Raw genomic sequence first — 24,303 nt, 5'->3', positions numbered from 1 at the left:
ATGTTGACCTTGTAATTTCTAGGGCTGCTATCACAAACTATCACAAACTGGAGGGCTTAAAACAATATAAATTTATTATTTCACAGTTCTGAAAGGCTAGAAGTCCAGATTCAAAGTGCCAGCAAATGTGGTTCTTTCTGGAGGCTCTGAGGGAAGCGTGTCCCATGCCTCTCTCCTAGCCTCTGGTGGTTGTCAGCAATCCCTGACGGTCCTGTCTTGTAGCTGCATCATTCCAGTCTCTGCCTCTACTGCTACATGGCATTCTCCCTCTGGGTTGGTCTCTGTGTCCAAATTTCCCTCTTCTTGTAGAAACAGCAGTCCCCGAATTAAAGACTCACCTTGGTCTAGTAAGTCTTCATCTTAACTCATTACATCTGCAAAGACCCTGTTTTCAAATAAGGTCACATTCACAGGTACTGGAGGTGAGGACTTGAACATATATTTTAGGGAGACACAATTCAACCCACAATACCTTGTGTCCTGCAGCCTTGCTAAATTCACTTACTAGTTCTCGTATATTTTCCTGCAGATTATTTGGGATTTTCTATATAGATGATCAGTCAGTTTACTTTTGACAAAACACCAGAGCCACATATGAGCAAAGGTTTCTCTATATTAACCACTTCTCTTGTGTTATTGCCATAGAGTTTGAGGTTTTTTTAAAAAAGTGTTTCTGTTGATTCCAATCTTGACTAATCATGTTGAGCCTCTTTTTCAGCACTTACTTGACTTGTATATTTTCTTTGGTGAGATGTATATTCAAATATTTTGCACTTTTTACTAATGGATTGTCTTATTGAATTTTGAGAGTTCTTCATATATTCTAAATATGTTCTTTATCAGATATAAGTTTGGCAATATTTTCTCCAAGTATGTAGCTTGTCTACTAATTTTCTTACAGTGTCTTCTGAAAAGCAGAAGTTTTAAATTTTGATAAATTTCAAGGTATCAGGTTTTTCTTTTATAGTTCATAATTTTTTTGTCCTATATAAAAAATCTTTGCTTAACTCAAGATCACAAAGATTTTGTCTTATGCTTTACTTTAGGCATTTTATTGTTTTAGCTCTATAAATCTTTGTTTAAAATTTTATTTATTGTTTTATTTTCTTTATTGTGGAAAATCAGGTTTTCATTTTTCCAAAAATTGCACCAAAGTAAAGCAAAGCTCTAATTGATGTGGGTGTCTTGTGTAGGCGTTAGCAGTAGTGCCCTCACTGTGCACTCATTGGACAGTAGTAAACCTTAAGTTGACTTTTCAAAATTCTTTCAAGCTTCTCTTTATACTAGGTGCTGTCCATATCATCACATGCTTTTCCAACTGTATAGCTGAGTGGTGGATGAGAATGAAGTGAGTGAGGCACGTGCTCCAGGTGCAAAACTTAAGGAGGCACCAAGACTTTGGAAATCAAGATGAATAATACCTTTATGCAATATTTTAAAAGTAGAAATTCACACAACTATCCATGATGAACAAAATATCAACAATATAAATAAAGATAGAGGATTTTACCCTGCATTCACATGACCCTGCCTCACTCGGCTCACCCTAAATCTGGCCCTGCTGTCTCGACTGCTATCAGCTGCTCTTTCTCAGTATGATCAATGTCAGCGAAACAAATTATAGGTGCTTGGCATGGCTTCAGGGGCCAATTTTGCTGAGATCATAACAAGTCTTTTTTCCCCTACTTTCACCTGATTTAATCCTGTAGTTCAGTTGGTTCTCAGTCTTCCAACTCTTAGTCTTCCACTCTTTTTTTTTTTTTAATTATTATACTTTAAGTTCTAGGGTACATGTGCACAACGTGCAGATTTGTTACATAGGTATACATGTGCCATGTTGGTTTGCTGCACCCATTAACTCGTCATTTACATTAGGTATTTCTCCTAATGCTATCCCTCCCCCTGCCTTCTACCCCATGACAGGCCCCGGGGTGTGATGTTCCCTGCCTTGTGTCCAAGTGTTCTCATTGTTCAATTCCCACCTACGAATGAGAATATGTGGTGTTTGGTTTTCTGTCCTTGTGATAGTTTGCTCAGAATGATGGTTTCCAGCTGCATCCATGTCCCTGCAAAGGACGTGAACTCATTCTTTTTATGGCTGCATAGTATTCCATGGTATATATGTGCCACTATCCAGAATCTACAAATAAATCAAACAAATTTACAAGAAAAAAGCAAATGACCCCATCAAAAAGTGGGCAAAGGATATGAACAGACACTTCTCAAAAGAAGACATTTATGCAGCCAACAGACACCTGAAAAAATGCTCACCATCACTGGCCATCAGAGAAATGCAAATCAAAACCACAATGAGATACCATCTCACTCCAGTTAGAATGGCGATTATTAAAAAGTCAGGAAACAACAGATGCTGGAGAGGATGTGGAGAAATAGGAATGCTTTTACACTGTTGGTGGGAGTGTAAACTCGTTCAACCATTGTGGAAGACCATGTGGTGATTCCTCAAGGATCTAGAACTAGAAATACCATTTGACCCAGCGATCCCATTACTGGGTATATATATCCAAAGGATTATAGTCTTCCATTCTTTAAGGAAATGATACCTGTTGTGATAGCTTCCATGTACAAGCTTGGTTTCAGGTCAAAGTCACAATTTCAGAGCATATTCTGGATATATGCTGGATATATGGAATATATGTCCAATCCACAAGCCATTAGAATAGATTTACATGCAAAAAGCTATCTGCATTCTTTCTGCCCTGCTTGTCTAATTTCTACCATCACGTGCCTTGTCTCCCAGCCATGTTATTGTCATAGGTGGACAGCTGACCCACAGCAAGTCTATTGCATTTTCTTGCCTTTTAATTTGGAATCTGGTTTCAGAAATCATGTAGTAAGAACTGTGTGGAGCAGGAATTGGAGCATCCAAACTCCCAAGCTGTTTTTCACCCACATTCCAACATGTGAACTGAGAAGCAGAGAAAGTTGATTAGCAAAGGGAGAAGTTCGATGCAGAAAGGCAGGGATGATAGAGAGGTAGAGTCAGACTTGGCTTCCTAACAATTTTCCAGTTCATACTTCCAATCTCTTCCTGAGATCCAGCTCTATCCCTTCTTTTGAATTCTGTGAAATACCACATCATTCATATAACAAACACCACATCTCCACTTTTTTTCTTATACTTTGAATTTGCTTTCATTAGTCCAAATTAGAGACCCTTGGCTAATATGCTGTTTCCAACTTCCAAAATTAGATGCTTTATCCTCCCCGGGATTCTAAGGAAACTTTCCCAAACTGCTCTTTCCAGTGCTTTTCCCTGGTTAATAAAATCATTTCCTCTAGGAATACAGTTATTCTTTTCTTCTTTTAAAAAATCTTTAATTCCATTCTTCTTTCCTTTATACATTTCCCTGGTGATCCTTATTTGCATGGTTCCCAAGTTTACTCTTCCATTATATTCTGTTTTTTCTTAGCATGTTTTTGGTCTATCCCATTGTTAGTATTTATTAAGTATTTACATTGTATAAAAGATACAGAAGTCAGATTTCTTTTATTTACCACCCTATTCATTACCCAAGGTCCAATTTAAATATTATTTTCAACCATACTGACAAAAGCAATCTACAAATTCAAGGCAATTACCATCAAAATACCACTGTCATTCTTCACAGAACTAGAAAAAACAATTCTAAAATTCATATGGAACCAAAAAAGAGCCTGCACAGCCCAAGCATGACTGAGCAAAAAGAACAAATCTAGAGGCATCATATTACCTGATTTCAAACTGTACCATAAGGCCATAGTCACCAAAACAGCATGGTACTGGTATAAAAATAGGAACATAGACCAATGGAACAGAATAGAGAACCCAGAAATAAACCCAAATACTTACAGCCAACTGATCTTCAACAAAGCAAACAAAAACATAAAGTGAGGAAAGGATGCCCTATTCAACAAATAGTGCTTGGATAATTGGCAAGCCACATGTAGGAGAATGAAACTGGATCCTCATCTCTCACCTTATACAAAAATCAACTCAAGGTGGATCAAGGACTTACATCTAAGACCTGAAACTATAAAAATTCTAGAAGGTAACATCAGAAAAACCCTTCTAGCCATTGGCTTAGGCAAGGATTTCATGACCAGGAACCCAAAAGCAAATGCAATAAAAACAAAGATAAGGCTGGACATGGTGGCTCACGCCTGTAATCCCAGCACTTTGGGAGGCTGAGGCAGGTGGATCACCTGAAGTCACGAGTTCAAGACCAGCCTGGCCAACATGGTGAAAACCCGTCTCTACTAAAAATACAAAAGTTAGCCGGGCGTGGTGGCAGGTGCCTGTAATCCCAGCTACTCGGGAGGCTGAGGCAGGAGAATCGCTTGAAACCGGGAGGTGGAGGTTGCAGTGAGCTGAGATTATGCCATTGCACTCCAGCCTGGGGGACAAGAGTGAGACTTCATCTCAAAAAACAAAACAAAACAAAACAAAACAAGAAACAAAGATAAATAGGCTGGACTTAATTAAACTAAGGAGCTTTTGCACAGCAAAAGGAATAGTCAGCAGAGTAAAAAGACAACCCACAGAGTGGGAGAAAATTTGCACAAGCTATACACCTGACAAAGGACTAATATCCAGAATCTAAAACAAACTCCAACAAATCAGCAAGAAATAAACAAACAATCCCATCAAAAAGTGGGCTAAGGACATGAATAGATAATTCTCAAAAGAAGATATATAAATGGCCAATACACATATGAAAAAATGCTCAACATCACTAATGATCAGGGAAATGCAAACCAAAACCACAATGCGATACTACCTTACTCTTGCAAGAATGGCCATAATCAAAAAATCAAAAAATAATAGATGTTGGCAGGGATGTGACAAAGAGGGAGCACTTCTACACTGCTGCTGGGAATGTAAACTAGTTCAACCACCATGGAAAACAGTGTGGAGATTCCTTAAAGATCTAAAAGTAGAACTACCATTTGATCCAGCAATCCCACTACTGGGTATCTACTCAAAGGAAAAGAAGTCATTATACGAAAAAGATATTTGCACACTCATGTTTATAGTAGCATAATTCGCAATTGCAAAAATGTGGGACCAACCCAAATGCTCATCATTCAATAAGTGGATAAAGAAACTGATATACATACATATATATATACACACACAAACACACACTCATAGTGGAATACTACTCAGCCATAAAAGGAATAAATTAATGGCATTTGCACCAACCTGGATGACATTGGAGACTGTTATTCTTAGTGAAGTAACTCAGGAATGGAAAACCAAACATCATATCTTCTCACTCATAAGTGGTAGCTAAGCTATGAGGATGCAAAGGCATAAGAATGATACAATGGACCTTGGGGACTCAGGGGGAAAGGGTAGGAAGGGGATGAGTGATAAAAGATTACAAATTGGGTGCAGTGTGTACTGCTCAGGTGATGAGTGCACCAAAATCTCACAAATCACCACTAAAGAACTTAGTCATGTAACCAAATACCACTTGTTTCCTAATAATCTATGGAAGTAAAAAATTAAAAAAATATATCGGCTGGGCATGGTGGTTCACACCTGTAATCCCAGCACTTTGGGAGGCCGAGGCGGGTGGACCACCTGAGGTCAAGAGTTGCAGGTCAGCCTGGCCAACATGGTGAAAACTCATCTCTACTAAAAATATAAAAATTAGCTGGGTGTGGTGGCGGGTGCCTGTAATCCCAGCTACCCGGGAGGCTGAGACAGGAGAATCGCTTGAACCCAGAGGCAGAGGTTGTAGTGAGCCAAGATAGTGCCATTGCACTCCAGCCTGGGCAACAAGAGCAAAACTCTGTCTCAAAAATAAATAAATAAATTCATTAATTAAAAAAATCATTACCACTATGAGCCTGTCTCACCAATCTCTTTTTTTCCTTCAGAAAGAATATAGACAGATCTTTGTATATAAATACATTTGAATTCTCCTCTATTATATCCCCTCAAGGCAAGGAATCAGATGTTACTCATGCTTGCATTATGAGCACTTAACATATAGGAGGTGATGGGTAAGGGCTGGTTGGATAAATTAGCAAATTAATGAAAAGGGTGGCCTACTTTGCCACATACGAAATTGGGGAACGTACTTGATCCCAAATATCCCTTAAACATTAGGTTCTTCTGGTCTCTGCTATTCTAAGTCCCGTTCTTTTCCCATTTTGCCCTGTTTCCCCAGATGATCTCAGTTACCACCATGACTTGAGTTACCATCTGCCATATGTGAGTCCATCCTGAGACTATATTTTTAGTCCAGATTTGTCTCCGGAAAGCAAGACCCATAATTCCAATTACTTATCAGGAAGCACCAGCAGGTGCTTCTGCAGGCACCTCAGACTCAGTTTAGTCTGCCAAATCCACCCACTTCATTACATCCTCCCGATCTTCCTTCTTTTTCTCCTTCTCCTCTGATGTTCCCTAAACAATGAATGGCAGCATTACTCTGTCAATTGCACAAACACTGGTGTATGGTTAACATAGAGCACATTGCCTGGTGCCTAGTAAGCACTCAATATTTTATTGAGTAAATAAATGCCACACACTAAAATGGCCAAATCAGTTGAAAATGACAGATTTGGTGATTACATTCAGAAATAATCTTAGACTTAATAGTAAAAAGCTAGAATGAGAATAAGCCCAGGGAATTTCCTGTCTTTCACTTTTCCTGCCTTTGAAACATTAAGCAAACCAACATCGCTCATGAGGTCTGAGTTGAAGATCAGACCTAAAGGCTTATATTTGTGATCCTCCGTGAAACTGTCTGAAACAGTTTCCTTTAGACAAATGGGACTTTGTTCATTATGCCCAATCATGGACAGTCTTTATATACATGCCAAGGTAAATTTTTCGAGGTAAGCTTATAGGGATTGAGGATATACTGTGTGCTGTCCTATTGGGAGTAAGGCTGATAACTAACCTTTCATTCTTCTATCCCAGGCTAATATTTGAGGCATCAGTTGCAGGCAAACAGCATGAGCTTTGGGCGTCACACTGGCTTGAGTCTGAATTCCAGCTCCTGCATTTACCAACTTTGTGACTTTGAATAAGTTACTTAAGTTTCTTGAATCTCACTTTCATCTATCATATGGAGACAATATTATGCATAGCATACGGTTATTTGAAAGTAGATGTGTGATAAGTTAAGCATAGTCTCTGAAACAAGGGGTGCTCACTAAATGTGAGCTTTCTTCCCTTCTCTTGTTAGATGTGTGGTGATCTCTAATTAGGTTACTCAACCCACCTTGATTGTCAGTTTCCTCGCCAGTGAATGAAATAATTACACTATCCACAGAGTTGATGTGAGGACTGAGTGATAGTGATTTAAAGTGACTATCACATGATACATAGTGATTATTTAATCACTACTAGATCCCTTTCTTTCTTCCTTCTCAGTAAGGCATGGGAAATGCCTGATTGTATTTTAAGTCTGTCGGAACTTCTAGGTGATCTAGCAAGACATAAACATGGAATATTGTTGCTTTGCTCGTGTGTATAATACAATACTGCTCAACAGAAATGATAAATAGAGGAAACTTGCCATCTTCTCTATGTGACAGTTGCATGCCCCAGCCGACATCATCAGATTTGCCTTGGGGTTTTTCCTCAGGGTGCATGTAACGAATGGAAAAGGACCAATGCCTGAGAAGTCTCATTGGTTACTTGGGGGTGCCACATCCTCTGATTGGTGTAAGCATCAGACAATCCTCATCCACGTATTAACAGCACTTCAATTATTAATCAGGTAGCTGCTGACTTTGGCTAAATCAAGGTATCTTGCCCGACCCTCTGGACTACTCTCTATTCCTTCCTCCCTTCATTCTGCACAATGACCACCTCCCTACACCCCATATATACGAATGCCATTTTGTTAAGAACTGAGTCCATTCCCTTCAAACCCCCAGGATGTTGAGCTTTCTGCTGCTAGCATCTACAACAGTTACAGAAATGACTTGTATTTCTTTAGAAACACATGACTCTAGTAATGAGGAAGCTAGTATAACTTTAGTGAGTATGCCTTTATAATGGTGTGAGTTGGGGAATAGGCATATATGGAGGCCAGTTTCTCTAGCAGGTGCCACACATTGAGATGATAACCATTGTAAAAAGCTATTTTCCAGGACTGATGGGGTAACAGACGAATTTTACCAAATCTCATTGGCTTTACTATTACAGAACCTGTCAAGAATCAGCTTACCTTTAACTGGTTGCCTCAGAAGCCTCCCTGTTTGAATTGCTGTGGGTGTGGAAAGAATGGGGGGTGGTAGATGGAGTTTGACTAGTAAGAAGAGGGAGTGGAGCGGAGCCCATGGCAGCGGAGGCTATAGGGGGAGTTTCCATGTAAGAAACTTTTGGTATCTGGGAACAAACGATTTATTACCTAAACCTCCCACTCGCTTGATAGATTGCTGTTGGCATCTGCGTTATTGGAAAAAAAAAAACAAACTTGCTTCTTAGAAAAAAAATTGATGAGGCAAATACAGGACATTCAAATACAGCAGTGGGAAGGAAAAGAAAGGGGAAAATGCACTTGGCAAGAATTCAGAGACAGCGAGAGCCAATTGTCTTTATTGAAATGGCATTGAATTACAAACTCAAAGGAGGGAGTGGCGTCTCTTTTAGTAGAGAAATAAAAAACCATGCCATCCCTACCCAGTAAACAGTGTAGGGAAAACATTAACAACAACAACTCTATGCAAGGTATTTTTTTTTTTGTTTCGTTTTTTTTTTCTCTTCTTATCTCCAAACAAAGTGATCTGTGCTTGCTACTGAAACACCCTAAATATACTGCCCACATACCCTGGTGGTTAAATTCCCTTCAAGAGGGTGACTGGACCAGGCCAACCCTCTGCCCCCAACCCCCTTCTGGTGGAGGCTCTAAGTCTGATATGTCCCGCCTCTCTGGCCCAGCAGAGCACGTTCGCCAAAGCCCCGCAGATGCAGCACGTTTCCAGAACGCGCACTTTCGCAATGGGCGGCATCTCTCGCTCTCTGATGAAGGGTCAAAAATGAGATTGTGGATGAGAACAATTAGAAACTCTAATTACCCTCCAGGCACCTAACAATTATAAGCCACATTCTTATTTTTATAAGGAATTAGCTACAGATTGGACAGTGCTTGTCATGCTTTGAAACATTTCCTGCGTCTTTCTGGCATCACTCTGTTCTTGTTAGAATGCTGGCGTTTCTCACATCCCCACTACCGCGCTCCCCCCGCCCCCGCGCTGCCCCACCTCTCTCTCTCTGTCTCTATGTGCATGTATATGTATATGTATATGTATATGTATATGTATATGTATATGTATATGTATATGTATATGTGTATGTATATATTTTTTGGGCTTGCCAATTCCCGCACCTTCATATACATTACCCCGTCCTTTCATCTCCAAGATGACCTGAAATGACCTTTTGCTTGGCACGAGACGTGATTCAACTGATAACAAAAGAGTTTGGGGGAGGGTAGGGGCGGTGTCTGTCTGCGCCGGGCTGAGGAAGAGCCAGGAGGGGGGCGGAGAAGGGGGGGACCATATCCATTTAAAGACGAATGCTGCTGCTTTTCGCAGTGCTATTTCCTGTAATTAATTTTCCACATATCACCTATCACACGAAAATAAAAGTTTTTTTTTGTTTGTTTTTTTTTTTTTTTTTTTTTTTTTAAGGCATACCACTCTCTTTGTTTAACCGGAGATCCTGGGCTGTTTAGACGTGTCTGTGGGGGGAGCGGAGGAGGGGGGTTGGGGTGGCAGGCCGGGGGAGGCTGGGCGTCCCCCCCGCAGAGAGGCCCGAGCTCTCCGCCGGAATGTGGGGTCGGAACCCCGCAGCTTTCTTTCTTTCTGCCTGGGTGTTTGCTGCTGGGAGCTTCTTTTCAAAGCCACGGCGCCTGCTAAGGTTCCAGCACGCAGTTCCCTTCCATTTTCCATCTGCAGCCTTTGAGGGGTGTGGGCTTTTCCCAAAGCCTTTATTTCTTTGTCGTTTTAGGAAACCTCAATTTTTGCACTGACTCCAGAACTCCAAATGGATCCCAATAGCAAGTCTCATCGATCGTCCCCCTCCCCCATCTTACTTAGGGAGGAAAAAAAAGAACAAACTATTTATTTGGATACTCAGCGAGGTTGTGAGAGTTGCCACAGCAACAGCTGTGAACCTTGCACAGCAAAAGGCTCTTACTGTAGAGTGTCCTGCCTTCCAAAACATCTCCTCTTTAAAGAGACACTGCTAGCGATACTATATCAGTTTGGTGTGTGTGTACATTGACATATCATCGACACCATTTGAAGAGACAAAGGCAAGTGTTTACTTGGGTGGTTCACAAGATAATTTTAGTCAAGCTTGACCAGATGAGATGTGAGAAGAGAAAAATGGACTGTGGAGTCACGTGGGGACCTGAGATTAGAGAACTTCGTGCCCAGAAGCTTGCGAAATGGTAGAAAGTATTCTAAAGGTGTCCTGTCCCTTCTGGAGGTCATAGCTTGCGTGTGAGCTGGCGGGGTTGATTATGCAGCCGTCCTGTCACCCTCTCCTGCACTTGTCGAAGGGATCTTGACATGAGATAGACGCTCTGAGCTCAGAGACGTGAGGAACTCAGCTTCCTGGGTTCCAGGAAGAACTTCTTTTCCCTGAAGTGCCTCATAGGCTAAAAGTTCCATGAAAAGCAAGAGGTTGCTCCACAGTCCCAGTTTCATACCTTCTGGCTTTCCTCGGAAACCGTGAAGTCGTTAATGCCTCATAGGTATTAATATTTGCTAGTCTCTGCAGATATAAAGGTACAATTAAAGACTAGTCCTTAGCCCCTGCCCTCAAGGAGCTGTCGGTCAAGAAGTGGATTAGGTAAACAGATAAATACAGGGAAGAAGGAGTGACTATGGGGCTGCCAGATCCATTACAGCCACCAGCATGATCCCCATTCATTTCTTAGTTCATGGAATGCCTGACAGAATGCCAATCAACATCCCTTTCCTCTCCTTCTTCAAAAGTGCCTCCTTATAGGAAAAATTGTCATTCTGGGCAGATGGGCGCCCAGAAGCTGCCTTGAGAGTCACACTGTGGAAGGGCACTGCTATCATCTTCAGTGAAAACCTCAGCCCAATTTCCAACCTGCTGTAGAAAAGGAAAAATACTAATATTACTGAGTACCCCTTCCATGTGCCATACATGATGCTATTTATTACACATATAATAAATAACACCTATAATAAATGCTATTTATTAAACCTATAGTAAATGCTATTTTATACCTACAATAAACGCTATTTATTATCCTATTGAATCCTCATGCAGTCTTTCACATGTAGTACCTGGTTTTATCTGAGCCATAGGACATAGGAAATGATCTGAGTGACTTGTTTTCTCAATTACCCCAAGGATGGTGCATAACTAGTACCATTCTATATGATAGAAGAGAAATTGATTCCCTTTATACAATGAATGCTTGAAGGCATTAGTTTTAATTCCCTCTCAGGGTCCCTCTTGAGAAAGTTGTGAAGTATCCTAACTTAACAGACAAGGAAACAGAGACTCAGGGAAATTGCTCAAGATCACACAGCCAACAATGCCAACAATAATGGAAATTTCCTTCCTGACTCAAAAATTTATAATCTTTTGAGATAGTGTGAATAGATTGCTCTATACTTCCATTTGACTATTTAAAAAAATAGAGACCGGGTGCAGTGGCACTTTGGGAGGTCGAGGCAGGCGGAACACCTGAGGTCAGGAGTTTGAGACCAGCCTGGCCAACATGGTGAAACCCCTTCTCTACTAAAAATACAAAAATTAGCTGGCGTGGTGGCACATGCCTGTAATCCCAGTTACTTGGGAGGCTGAGGCGGGAGAATCACTTGAACCTGAGAGGTAGAGGTTGCAGTGAACCAAGATCATGCCACTGCACTCCATCCTGGGCCACAGAGTGAGACTCTGTCTCAATACATAAATAAATAAATAGTTAAGGTTAGAATTTTCAGTGACTGACAGTCATACTGACTTAAAGAGTTAGTTTGATTGGAAGCTCTACAAAGACAAGAACTGAGTCTTTTTTTTTCTTCAGTAATATCTTTCTTGGAATTATCTGTCCAGTTAGGCAAAGATTATCACTAAGAAAACCATCATTCATAGTGAAGGGAACACCTTGCTTTTAATAACTCAAACCATTGCCACTCAGCCTGACCACTTACCAGACTTAACCTCACATGACTTTTAAAATCAAACATATCTTCAAAGACTGGAGACATTTGTCATTGAAATCAAACAACAAGCCTTTAGCTCTAAGGCCACTGCAAGAGAAGAGCTGCTAATTCTTGCTAGCAATACCGACCTGTTTGGCAAAGGTGAGAGCTTTTAAAAGCATCATAGTCATTTGTAAGAGTTTTGCTATGACCTCCTCTTTTGTACAGTAAGTTCTCAGTTCAGACCCTGCATCCTTGGGCAAATTACTCAACCCCTCTATTCTTCTTTCTTTTTGTTTTCTTTTAAGATAGGGTCTTGCTCTGTCACCCAGGCTGGAATACAGTGGCACAATCATGGCTCACTGCAACCTTGAACTCTTGGGCTCAAGCGATCCTCCTGCTTCAGCCTCCTGAGTATGTGGAGCTACAGGCATGCACCACCATGCCTTGCTAATTTTTAAAAGTTTTTTGTAGAGACAGGTCTCACTGTGTTGCCAAGGCTGGTCCCAAACTCCTAGCCTGAAGCAATCTTCCCATCTCAGCCTCCCAAAGTGTTGAGATTACTGGCATGGGCCACCTCACCCATCTGACCCCGTTATTCCTTAATTTCACATGAAAAGTGGAGGAATAGTAGCATTTATGACATAGGATCATGGTAAGGATTGCCCTGAGATTAAACGTGTACAGCATTTAGCGCAGTACCTGGCTCATATGAAATGCTATTTATTATGCCATTATTATGTGAATTATTATCATCACTTTTATTTATATTAGAATTGATTGATTAAAATGGATAGTTGACATTTTCTTTCCCATGCCATGGGTGGACCCTAAGCTGTACTGTGAAGCTGATAAGGCTTTTCTTTTTCAACTCTCTGTTTTTCTATCACCATGTCACTACTTCTCTTATTTTTAAACATCCATTTGTCCTGGCATTCCCTTTCTTCTTTCCCTAGCCTGCTCAAACAAAACAAAAAAATCTTGTTCTTAAAATGGCTCTGTGATTAATCATTTACACTAGGGATCAGCAAGATTTCCCTTTTTTTTATTATTATACTTTAAGTTTTAGGGTACATGTGCACATTGTGCAGGTTAGTTACATATGTATACATGTGCCATGTTGGTGTACTTGCACCCATTAACTCTTCATTTAACATTAGGTATATCTCCTAATGCTATCCCTCCCCCCTCCCCCCACCCCACAACAGTCCCCAGTGTGTGATGTTCCCCTTCCTGTGTCCACGTGTTCTCACTGTTCAATTCCCACCTATGAGCGAGAACATGCGGTGTTTGGTTTTTTGTCCTTGTGATAGTTTGCTGAGAATGATGGTTTCCAGCTTCATCCATGTCCCTACAAAGGACATGAACTCATCATTTTTTATGGCTGCATAGTATTCCATGGTGTATATGTGCCACATTTTCTTAATCCAGTCTATCATTGTTGGACATTTGGGTTGGTTCCAAGTCTTTGCTATTGTGAATAGGATCAGCAAGATTTTTCTAGAAAGAGCCAAATAGTAAATATTTTAGGCTTTACAGGCCTTACAGTCTCATTGCAACAGTTCAACTCTGATGTTGCAGTGCAAAACCAGTCATGGCCAATATGTAAATGAAAGAGTGGGACACGTTCTGATAAAACTTTATCTATGGACACTGAAGTTAGTTGAATTTCTTGGAATGTTTACATGTCACAAAATATTATTCTTTTATTTTTTTCAAGCATTTGTAAATATAAAAAACATTCTTGCCTGTATTGCTGACCCACAATATATACTTGACCATGAGTTCAACCACTATGACATGCTCGGGAATATTGCATTTCATACTTTCAAGTTCCAGAAGAATATACAGGAAACACTACTTTGGGGGCAGTGCCATGAATAGTGTTGGTGCTAATGGCAGCCTCCTCCCTTGGCTCTCTTTGGAAAGGAAACCTGGCAGAGTGTGACCCAGGTTAGCCAACTGAATATATTCATTTACTGGAAAACATCCAGGCATCTGGGAAGAGGCAGCAAAAAGAGCACTATTTGTGATGTCGAACTTGGCTTCAGTCAAATTTGGATTCTAATCCCTTAGTGGTGTTTTGATTTGGGCAAGTCACTTAAAGTCTTTACGCTTCAATTTTCCTAACTATAAAAGTAGAAATAATAATGCCTGTCTTGAAGAGTATAAGACTGAATTATATATAGTCACTGTATGTGACAATGTATATTAAGAGGATGATAATTACAACATGGTGGACATTTCATAAATGCATGAAGAGGATTAACAGGCACTCAGCTCATGTTTCCTTCAATCATTTATTGGTGGGGGAAGGAGGGTTCAATCTTTGTTGTTGTGAAATACAAGAATAGGAAGGTTGGACATGGTGGTACTTCTGGTATTTAAAAAAAGGTTCTCTGACCTTTTGCAGGGGGCAGGTGCGGGGACTAGTGAGAAGACAGGACATTTTTGGCACAGAAAAAAATAGACCTTTTAACCCAAGTGAAATGCAATCTTGTAGTGCAGAAGCAGTGGCTCTGTCATCAGGTTAGGGCTCAGCTCAAGATGACACTGATTTATGAAAGGACAATCAAAGTGTCAGTGCCATTTCTGGACTGGTGTCTTCAGGCAGGCGTCCATTATTACTCATGTAGGCACCAAGGGAAAACTTTCCTTCACCTTCTGAAGGTTCGCCGAAAAATCAACTGAGAACATGCGGATTAATAAGGGAAAGGTATCCAAATTTATTAACGTGCACATGGAGGAAAACGATGGAGTGATTACTCCAGTAGGGTAGAGAAGTTTATATATCATACCATCTTGAGATTACAGAAAGAATGGGGGCTTGGATCATGGCAAGACAGGTTATTGGAGGGGGAAAAGAGGAGGCCTGGCTAGCAAAGGTGGTCTTGTTATGTAGATGAAATTTCACAGGTAGCAACTCTCAGAGAAAATAGATGGTGAATGTTTCTTTCAGACCTTTAAAGATATTAGACTCTCTGTTAACTTTTCTCAGATCAGGCAAGGGAAGACCATCAGCGAAAGACTGGCTGCATCAATGGAGATTTTCTCTACAAGTGCAAATCTCCCTCACAAAAGGCAACTTTGCAGGGCTACTCCTGTTTGCAGGCCCTCTGAACAGCCATCTCAAAATATGTTAAACAAATATATTTTGGGGTGAAATACTTTGATTTTCTTCACTTGGTTCCCACATGAATCAGGGCTTTGGAAAGTGAATCAGGACTGCTTGAGAAGGTCTGTTTGTGCAGATAAGGGAGGTGTTTCCACGTGTGTGTGTGTGTGTGAGAGAGAGAGAGGAGAGGGAGAGAGGAGAGAGGGAAAAGTATACTTTTGTACTCACTGATAAGTCTTATGGATGAAGAAAAACAGAAGCAGTGTGGCCTGGAAGTTTAGAAACACACTGGAGACAGCTCATTCTAAAGATTGTACTCCTTCTCAGTACCAGGTTCTGAACTGAGGGAAAAAGACTCCTTTTGTCTTGAGGGAGCTTACAGGTGCACATTTTTTTATATATGACAAATGAGGTTAATTTGTATTAAAATAATTTACGTAATATTTCTGATAAATAGATGACTTTTAATCAAATTAAAGAAATTGACCTTTAGCATATAAAAAACTTTTTTCTCTCTGATTTTATCGACATGTAAATATGATGTAAGCACAATTTTTATTTAAGATGAGATCTGGGTTTAGTTTCTCATGATTTAAGATTTTCTTAAAGTTTAAAAATTTCTACATAAATTCTATGTGTTCAGTAAGTTATTTCTACAAATTGGTGAAGAAGTAAAAGAATATTGAATCATATTTAACTATATGAACTTGTAAGAATGCATGTCTTTCAAAAAGGGTTAATCTTGTGAATTCTCGTAATGCTGCAAATTGTATGGACATAATATATTAGCTTAAATTGTAATTTCCAGATCTTTAGCCAACCTTAGACTAATATTCAATTGAATTAATATATAAACTTTGGCTATATGGGCAATTTATAAGTAAGACAAATATGCAAATATTAGTTACTAAATATAGTTTTAATTTCCCCTACTCTTTATTTTATATATGTAAATGACTATACCTTAACAGGGTATGCAAATGTCTTTAAGTGATGCAATATATATGCTTACTTTTCCACCTTAAAATTTGTTAAAGTAATATAAATGTTTGTGGAAAAAATTAACTGGATTGTTTTTGTTTCCTGTCTCAGGTCTAGAAAAACAAAAGCTGCTTACAATATAAATTGTTGAGACAATATTAGGTACAATAATTTGGGAGAAATATGAATATGTATACCAGATAATAAATGTGGTTTATTTGCTTTTTAAGAAAATTGTTACAGTTTATTAGTATGGTAAATTCAATTATATATATGTTCACACACCCCTACATACATACATGCATTGTTTTATTTGATATGCTAAGAAAGTTAAAAAGTTTAATTAAATAATCTGTTTTCACAGTTAAGTATTTGTATAAGTCTAAATACATACATATAAAGGTATATTAAGTTTAATTCAAAATATTAAAAATTTAAAAAATGTAATTTTAAGAAAAACCCTAAATGTAAAAGGTCTGAGGAAGGCAAAATTTGTTTGCCCAAGTTGGTAATGCTGGCATGAGTTTGAAGGAAACAATTATTTAAAAAAAAAAATTATATACAAAGTTGGCTCCAAGCTAATGAATTTATTCCAAAAAAAAAAAAAAAAAGGAAAGGAAAGGCTCATGAATCCTCTACTGCAAGTGGTTGTATGGATGATTGTCTCTGTCTGTTTGGGCTGCTATAGCAAAATATCATAGACTGAGGGACTTCATAGTCCTGGAGTCCTATTTCGGTGTCTGGTGACGGCCCTCTTCTCTCTGTATTCCCATGTATCTAAAAGAGATCATCCGTCTTATGTCTCTTCTTATAAGGGCACTAATCCAATCATGAGAATTCTACTCTCATGACCTAATTATGTCCCAAAGACCTCCAAATACCATTACCCTGGGAATTAGGGCTTAAACATATGCATCTCAGGGAAACATGGACATCCAGTTCATAGCAATAATAATATATATATAAAGTGTAAAATGAGGATTTGGGCTTTCTTTAGAAAAAAAGACCAAATTATTCTGTGTCTAGATAACAGAGGTTTTTTTCAGTCACAAAAATATTCTACTAAATCCTGAAACTTTTGGAATATTTTGAATTGCTTTGACAGAAAGTTCCCTTTTTTGTTGACAAAAATTAAGTTTTTTAGTAATCATTGTTACTTTTTTTTGTGAGTTAAAAAATTTCTTTATAACTATTTTTTTGTCTTTGAATATCCTGACATATTTCTATTTTGTTGCCTTTGATACCTCTTCTTGACTTCCCATTTCTAAGGTAAAAATCACCAAATCAAAGCAATCAAACTGTTAAGATACATTTTAAACAAAATTCATCTTTGGGTTTCATGGTATGACCACTAAGTAGCACAAAGACTGACTCCTTCACCTTATAAAAGAAAGGGTATTAGAAAAGGAGCTTGCCTTTATAACCAAGGTTTTTAAGAAATAGAGCTTGGGAAAGATTTAGGCAATGGTAGTGTGTATTTGGAGACTATTTCACTTTTTTTCAGACCTTACAAATAAAGGTCACTGCATTCCCTCATCCCTACATTCTTTTGCTTTGCCCTAACCTGATAATCTCTACATTGCAAATTCCTGTACCATTTGATAACCTCATTGGAGTATATTACTTGAAAATAGGGCATTGGATGACCCCTAATGTCTGTTACTAAATTTGTAGTGTAAAAGTGTATTGGTGACTACCCACAAATTGGACATAGATTTGTTTTCTCCCTAAACTGTTGTTTGCATTCAGGATAGCCCCTGATATCATCCAGAGTCTGTCTTGAAGCATAACTTTCTCTTCTTAGAAAAAAAGATCTTTAAATAATTTAATTCAAGAAGGAGAAAAACTGGGCCTCATTTAGCATTCAAAGTCTTTAACGACTCAAGTAGAACTCTGAACTGCCTTCTTTTGTCTTTAAGCCCCTTTATTTCATGTTTTACAAGAGACTCACAAAGTGGGAGAATCATACATGCTATGGTTCAGAAAAGAATGGGAGAGCTAGACAATGTCAACAGGACCATAGGACATCTTGCCCTAAAGGCTCATGAAATTTGGCACATAGTGGTTTGTGATCTATATAACACTGTCTCCTTGTAGAATGCGTGCTAGGAGGATGTCTCCTCAGACTTCTCTAATGTGTTTAATATTACTAACAAGATCTAGGACACACACACATAATCATGAAATTATGTAAATAGGCTAATTCCTCCATATCTGGTTCTTTAGTGTTTTTGGATTGGGGTTGGGAGCTATTTTCTTGATTTCATTTGTGCATGCTAGGATTCTAGCTTGAAAGTGTACTATAAACACTAATTGTATAATTTCTTCTGTCATAGTCTATTTCTGCTGCTATAATGGAATACTTGAGATTGGATAATTTGTAAAGAAAATAAATTCACTTGGCTAATGCTTCTTGAGACTTGGAAGTCCAAGATCAAGGGGCTGCATCTGGTGCAAGTATTCTTGCTATGTCATCCCATGGTGGAAGGCAGACGGGCAAGAGAGCTTGAGATAGTAAGGGAAGTCTGAACTCTCTTATAACAACCTACTCTTGTGATAATGAACCCACTCTCACAACAACAACATTAATTCATTCATGAGGGAGGAGCCCTCATGGCCTAATTACCTCTTAACACCATCACAGTTACAAATTTGAACATGAGTTTCGAAGGGAACATTCAAGCAATAGCATTCCACCCCTGGACCCCCCAAACTCATGTCCTTCTCACTTATAAATACATTCATTTTATCCCAATAGCCCCAAAATCTTAACTTGTTCCAAGTCAACTCAAAAGTTCAAAGCCCAGTCTCAGTCAGATATAGATGAGACTCAAGGTGGGATTCAAACCAAGGCAAATTTCTCTCCCTCTATGAGCTTGTGAAATCAAACTGAGTTACATGCTTCCAAAACACAATGGTGGGACAGGCTTAGGTTAGAGATTCCCATTCCAAAAATAGAAAAATAGGCAAGAAGAAAGGGGTAACTTGTCACGAGTCCAAACCTCAACAGGAAAAACGTTAAGTCTTAAAGCTCCAAAATAATCTCCTTTGACTCCATGTCCCACCTCCAGGATACACTGGATCAGGAGATGGGTCCCCATAGTCTCAGGCAGCCCACCCCTGTGACATTGCTGAGCTCCATCCAGCAGCTCTCACAAGTTGGAGTCTTGTGCTTGCAGCTCACCCAGGCTGATCTTGCAAGCTGGTAGTCTACAGTTCTGGGGTCTTGGGAGTGGCCCTACTCCCATGGCTCCACTGGACATTGCCCTAGTGGGGACTGTGTGGTGGCTTTGACCCTGTTTCCATTCAGCATTGCCCTAGTAAGGATTCTCTGCAGCAGTGGATTTGCTCATGTAGAAAGTCTCTGCCTGGACCCCCAGGCTGTCTATTACAACCTTTGAAGTCTAGATGGAGGAAGCCGTACCCTCACAGCTCTTGCATTCTCTGCGCCTGCAGGATTAGTGCCATGTGGATGCTGCCAAAGTTTACAGCTTATGCCTTCTGGAACAGTGGATTGAGCAACTCTTGGGCCTGCTTGAGCCAGGGCTGGGTGGTTGAGGAACACTGTGCTGAAATGCAGGGAGCAGGGATCTTGAGGTGACCACGAGCAGCAAACCCCGGGCCCATCCCTTGAAACCATTCTGCCCTCCTAGAGGTCTGGGCCTGTGATGGGAGAAGCAACCCTGTAGATCTCTGAAATGCCTTCAGGGTTATTCTTCCATTGTCTTCAATTCCTTCTAATCTGTACCAATCTCTTTAACAAATTGTCACTTGGCCACAAGTGACCATTTGCTCTCCTAAACATGCCTTTTATTTATTTTCATAAATAGGCTAAAAATTCTCAAAGTCTTTATTTATTTATTTTTTTTTGAGAACAGGTCTTGCTCTGTCGCCCAGGTTGGAGTGTATTAGTGTGACCATGGATCACTGCAGCCTCATCCTCCTGCACTCAATACTCCCACTTCAGCCCCTGAGTAGCTGCGATTATAGATGTGTACCACCATGCTCGGCTAATTCTTTTTATTTTTTCTTAAAGATGGGGTCTCACTCTGTTGCCCAGGCTGGTCTCAAACTCCTGGGCTCAAGTGATTCTCCCACCTCGGCCTCCCAAAATGCTGGGATCACAGGTGTGAGCCACTGTGGTTGGCTCAAAATCTTTTTGTTCTGGTTCTCTTTTAATTATAAATTCCATCTTTAATACATATGTTTCACCTTGCATCTTACTGCATGTGGCTAAAAGTAGCTACTCAGTTCCTTAGATATTTTGCTAAGAAATTTCTTCTGCCAGATACCCTCATTCATTGTTCTTAAATTTTGCCTCCCATAAACACATGGGAGTGCATGAACACAATTCAACCAAGTTCTTTACCAATTTATTATAAGGGTGGCCGTTACTCCAGTTTCCAATGAGATGTTTCTTACTTGTGTTTAGGTCCTCATCAGAATGGCTGTTAGTTGGTGTGCTGCACCCATATGTAACAAACCTGCACGTTGTGCACATGTACCCTAAAACTTAAAGTATAATAATAATAATAAAAAAGAATGGCTGTTAGTGGCCATGTTTCTATGAATGTTCTGATCACAACTACTTAGGTAATCTCCAACTAGATTCAGATTTTTCCTATAGCTATTCTCTTCTTCTGAGCCCTCACCAGGATTGCCCTGAATGCTCAGTTTAGACTTTTTCTAACCTGCTCCTCCAAATTCTTTCAACCTCTATCCATTAACCAGTTCCAAAGCTGCTTCCACATTTTCAGTTATTTGTTATCGCAACAGCCCCACTTCACGATATCCACTTCTCAGTATTTTCTTAGTCTGTTTCCTGCTGCTATAACGGGATACCTGAGACTGGATAATTTATAAAGAAAAAACTTTGATTTTGCTCACAGTTCTGGAGGCTTGGAAGTCCAAGATGAAGGGGCTACATCTGGTGAGGACCTTCTTGCTATGGCATCCTGTGGTGAAAGGTAGAAGGGCAAGAGAGCACAAGAGAAGAGGGCCAAGCTTTGTTTTATAACAATCCACTCTCATGATAGCAAACCCACTCCTGCAATAACAACATTAATTCATTTTTAAGGGCCCTCATGGCCTAAACCCCTCTGAATGGTCCGTACTCTTACACCATCATAAAAGCAATTAAATTTCAACATGAGTTTTGGAGAGGCATTCAGATCATAGTGCCTTCTCTTAGAATTTGTTCATCTTGCAGTGCTCAGATGTTTGGTTTCTAGAGTCTTAAATGCTACTGTACACCAGTCAAATGATCCAAGAAATTATATTCCCAAACAACAACAACAACAAAAGAAATGCTGAGAGTTGGACTAACTACCATCGAAACTCCATCTAACACCTTTGCAGATCTGAATTCATCATTCCATAAACATGAAGAATGACAAAAATTGGGAACTTAGAAATAAAACAAATATGCTTTCCTGTTCCCATGCTAAATAAGTCTGTGATTAAGCATATCTTCCCATTTTTGTGCTAAACAACAGTGGGACCAGCAAAGAAATAACTTAGCTAGGTAATATTGCCTCTGGGATTATCAGACTGTTGACCAACTAAAAGGGTTTATTTATCAAAACTAATAGGTGGCACCGAACACAAAGGGTCACATATTGCATGATTCCATTCATAGGAAATATCCAGAATACATAAAACCCCAGAGGCTATGGGAATGAGAAGTAGTTGCTGTGGGTAAGGCTTTTCCTATTAGTTTTGGAATTTGATAGAGGTGGTGGTTGTTCAACACTGTGAATGTACTAGTTGCCACTGAGTTGTTTACTGTAAAATGGCAAATTCTATGTTATGTGAGTTTCACCTAAAAAAAACCTAACAAGATGTTTATCAAGGCTCATTTTAAGGTCATTGACTTATCATGCCCACCACTGCAAAGCTCCTGTGTCATAAACTTCACCCAATTTCAACCAGTTTCACGCCTTATAAGACCTACTTTAAAACCATGCAATCCAGACCCTTTAACCCCGTAAGTATGTTCCCTGAATTACTCCATTTGAGACACATCTTGTCTCTCTTACTATAGTAGTTCCAGTAAACTTAGATTTGCTTGTTCTGTAGATTTTTTGGTGGTCTTTTGGAAGGTCAAAATAATTACTAAAATCCCTTCCAAGGGTAAAAAAAAATATATATTTTTGATTCTCTTTTCTATCCTCAATATTAGATAGGCATCAGTCTTCTGATTATAGATAGATACATGATTGGCTCAGGTTTTCACATAGTAGCTAGAATTAGAGATTCCAGTTCTAGTTCTCTAAGAGAGGGGTTAGGCAAAGATTAGGCATAACCAAGTAGCCAGCATTTAATACAAATCTTCAGCTATTTTGGAAGCCAAATAACAAGCAAATGATTCTTGTTTCAGGGATTACACAAAGTCAGCAGTAAGAGAAAAGCCCAGAAAAACTAATGTCTGGGGCTCACTCTGGATATGAGACCAAGGTTATAGAGAAATCAGTTTTAGCCTGAAGCAGTAGCTCGCACTTGTAATCCCAGCTACTCAGGAGGCTGAGGCAGGGGGATTGCTTGAGACTAGAAATTTGAGACCAGGCTGGCCAATATAGTGAGATCCTGTCTCTATAAAAAAATAAAAATATTAGACAGGTGTGGCTATAGTCCCAGCTACTCAGGAGGCTAAGGTGGGAGGATCAGTTGAGCCCAGGAGGTCAAGGCTGCATGAGCTATGATCATGCCACTACATTCCAGCCTGGGCAACAAAGCGAGACTCCCGCACCTGCTGCCCCATCTCTTAAAAAAAAAAAAGAAAGAAAAAGAAAAAAACCCCAATCAGTTTAGATCAGTTTCGTTAGAAGAGAAGGATGTAAAACTACCAATATATTATTGCCTTGATCCGATCTAATCTTGATCTTAAAAAATAGTCAGTGCTGAGCCCATATATGAAGAGTCTTACTACCTATAGATGACTAGGATTGATTGAGTTTTTAAAATGTGTACAAGTAGAGAGAGAGAGAGAGTGTGTGTGTGTGTGTGTGTGTGTGTGTGTGTGTGTGTGTTGTCTAGGATGATGTATTAGGTATCTATTCTGGCATTTTAAATTCCCCTAAAACATAGTGGTTTAAAATAACACACATGTATTACTGTGGCACATCTTAGCTGGTCTTCTACTTTAAGGCCTCTCCAGGCTGCTATCAAGATGATGGCTGGGCTGTAGTCACCTCCAGGATTAACTTGGGAAGCTCAGCTTCCAAGCTCACATCGCTCTTGATAGGATTTAGTTTCTCATGGGCTGTCAGATTGAGGGTCTCAGTTCCTCACTGGATGTTGTTGTCAGACCACCCTCGGTTTCTTGCCATGTGAGTTTCTTCTGCATGGCATGTTGTTTCATTAAAGGATGGAGACTAAGAAGTTGACAGAGTCTAGCAAGACATAAGTCACTGTCTCTTGTAATCTGATCAAGAGAGCACATTCTGTCATTTTTGCTGTATTCTATTTAGTAGACACATGTCATTAGCTCTTTCCAACACTTAAGGGGAGGGGATTACACATGGCGTGAATACCAGTGGGGGTCTTTAAATGCCATATTTGAAAACTGCCTACCACAGATGATCATCATACCTAAATAAAATACCACATCCATCCTATTAACTATAGAAATTTGAAAATTAGAGTGAAATTGTTTTTCTTTGGTTTAAAGTTATCTCTAAAATATCACAAGTAAATAAGAGTCATAAAAGTTTTATCTCGAAGCTCTACAAGAGGTCAAATACTAATACACACATTGGTTTTCAAGATTCCAGACCTGTCTGAAAGTAGTATTGCCTTTTTCTCAGGGAAGTATCAAATAGTTTTAAAACAGAAGTGTCTGAAAAGTTGTGTTACTCAGTATTTACTGTTTCTCTTGAACACTATAAGGTATGTGCTCTCATCAGCCTCCTTCCAATTAATTAGCTGGGTTTATAGACCTCTCCCTGAAGCAGCTTCACTGCATGAGTCAAGTGGTTGACAATTAGTGAAGTATCTCAGAACATAGGAAGTCGTCTTGTTTGCTTCATAAACGGGAGGGGTTATTA

At 39.5% G+C, this 24,303-nt stretch overlaps 1 pseudogene, besides 1 other annotated feature; it reads right to left on the bottom strand.

The window, feature by feature from the left end:
• RNU4ATAC10P (RNA, U4atac small nuclear 10, pseudogene) lies at window positions 1,134-1,255 on the bottom strand (annotated as a pseudogene).
• Window positions 8,376-9,040: an enhancer, noted in NCBI's record as "H3K4me1 hESC enhancer chr11:122312133-122312797 (GRCh37/hg19 assembly coordinates)". NCBI's record gives its function as "activates a minimal SCP1, AML or CMV promoter by ChIP-STARR-seq in primed H9 embryonic stem cells {active_cell/tissue: H9 hESC(primed)}" and the evidence as "EXISTENCE:reporter gene assay evidence [ECO:0000049][PMID:30033119]".

The sequence above is a fragment of the Homo sapiens genome, chromosome 11 (genome assembly GCF_000001405.40).
Source record: "Homo sapiens chromosome 11, GRCh38.p14 Primary Assembly".
NCBI classification, from domain to species: Eukaryota; Metazoa; Chordata; class Mammalia; order Primates; family Hominidae; genus Homo; species Homo sapiens.
Note: the sequence above shows the minus strand (reverse complement) of the source record. Positions and strands in the feature narration are given on the sequence as shown.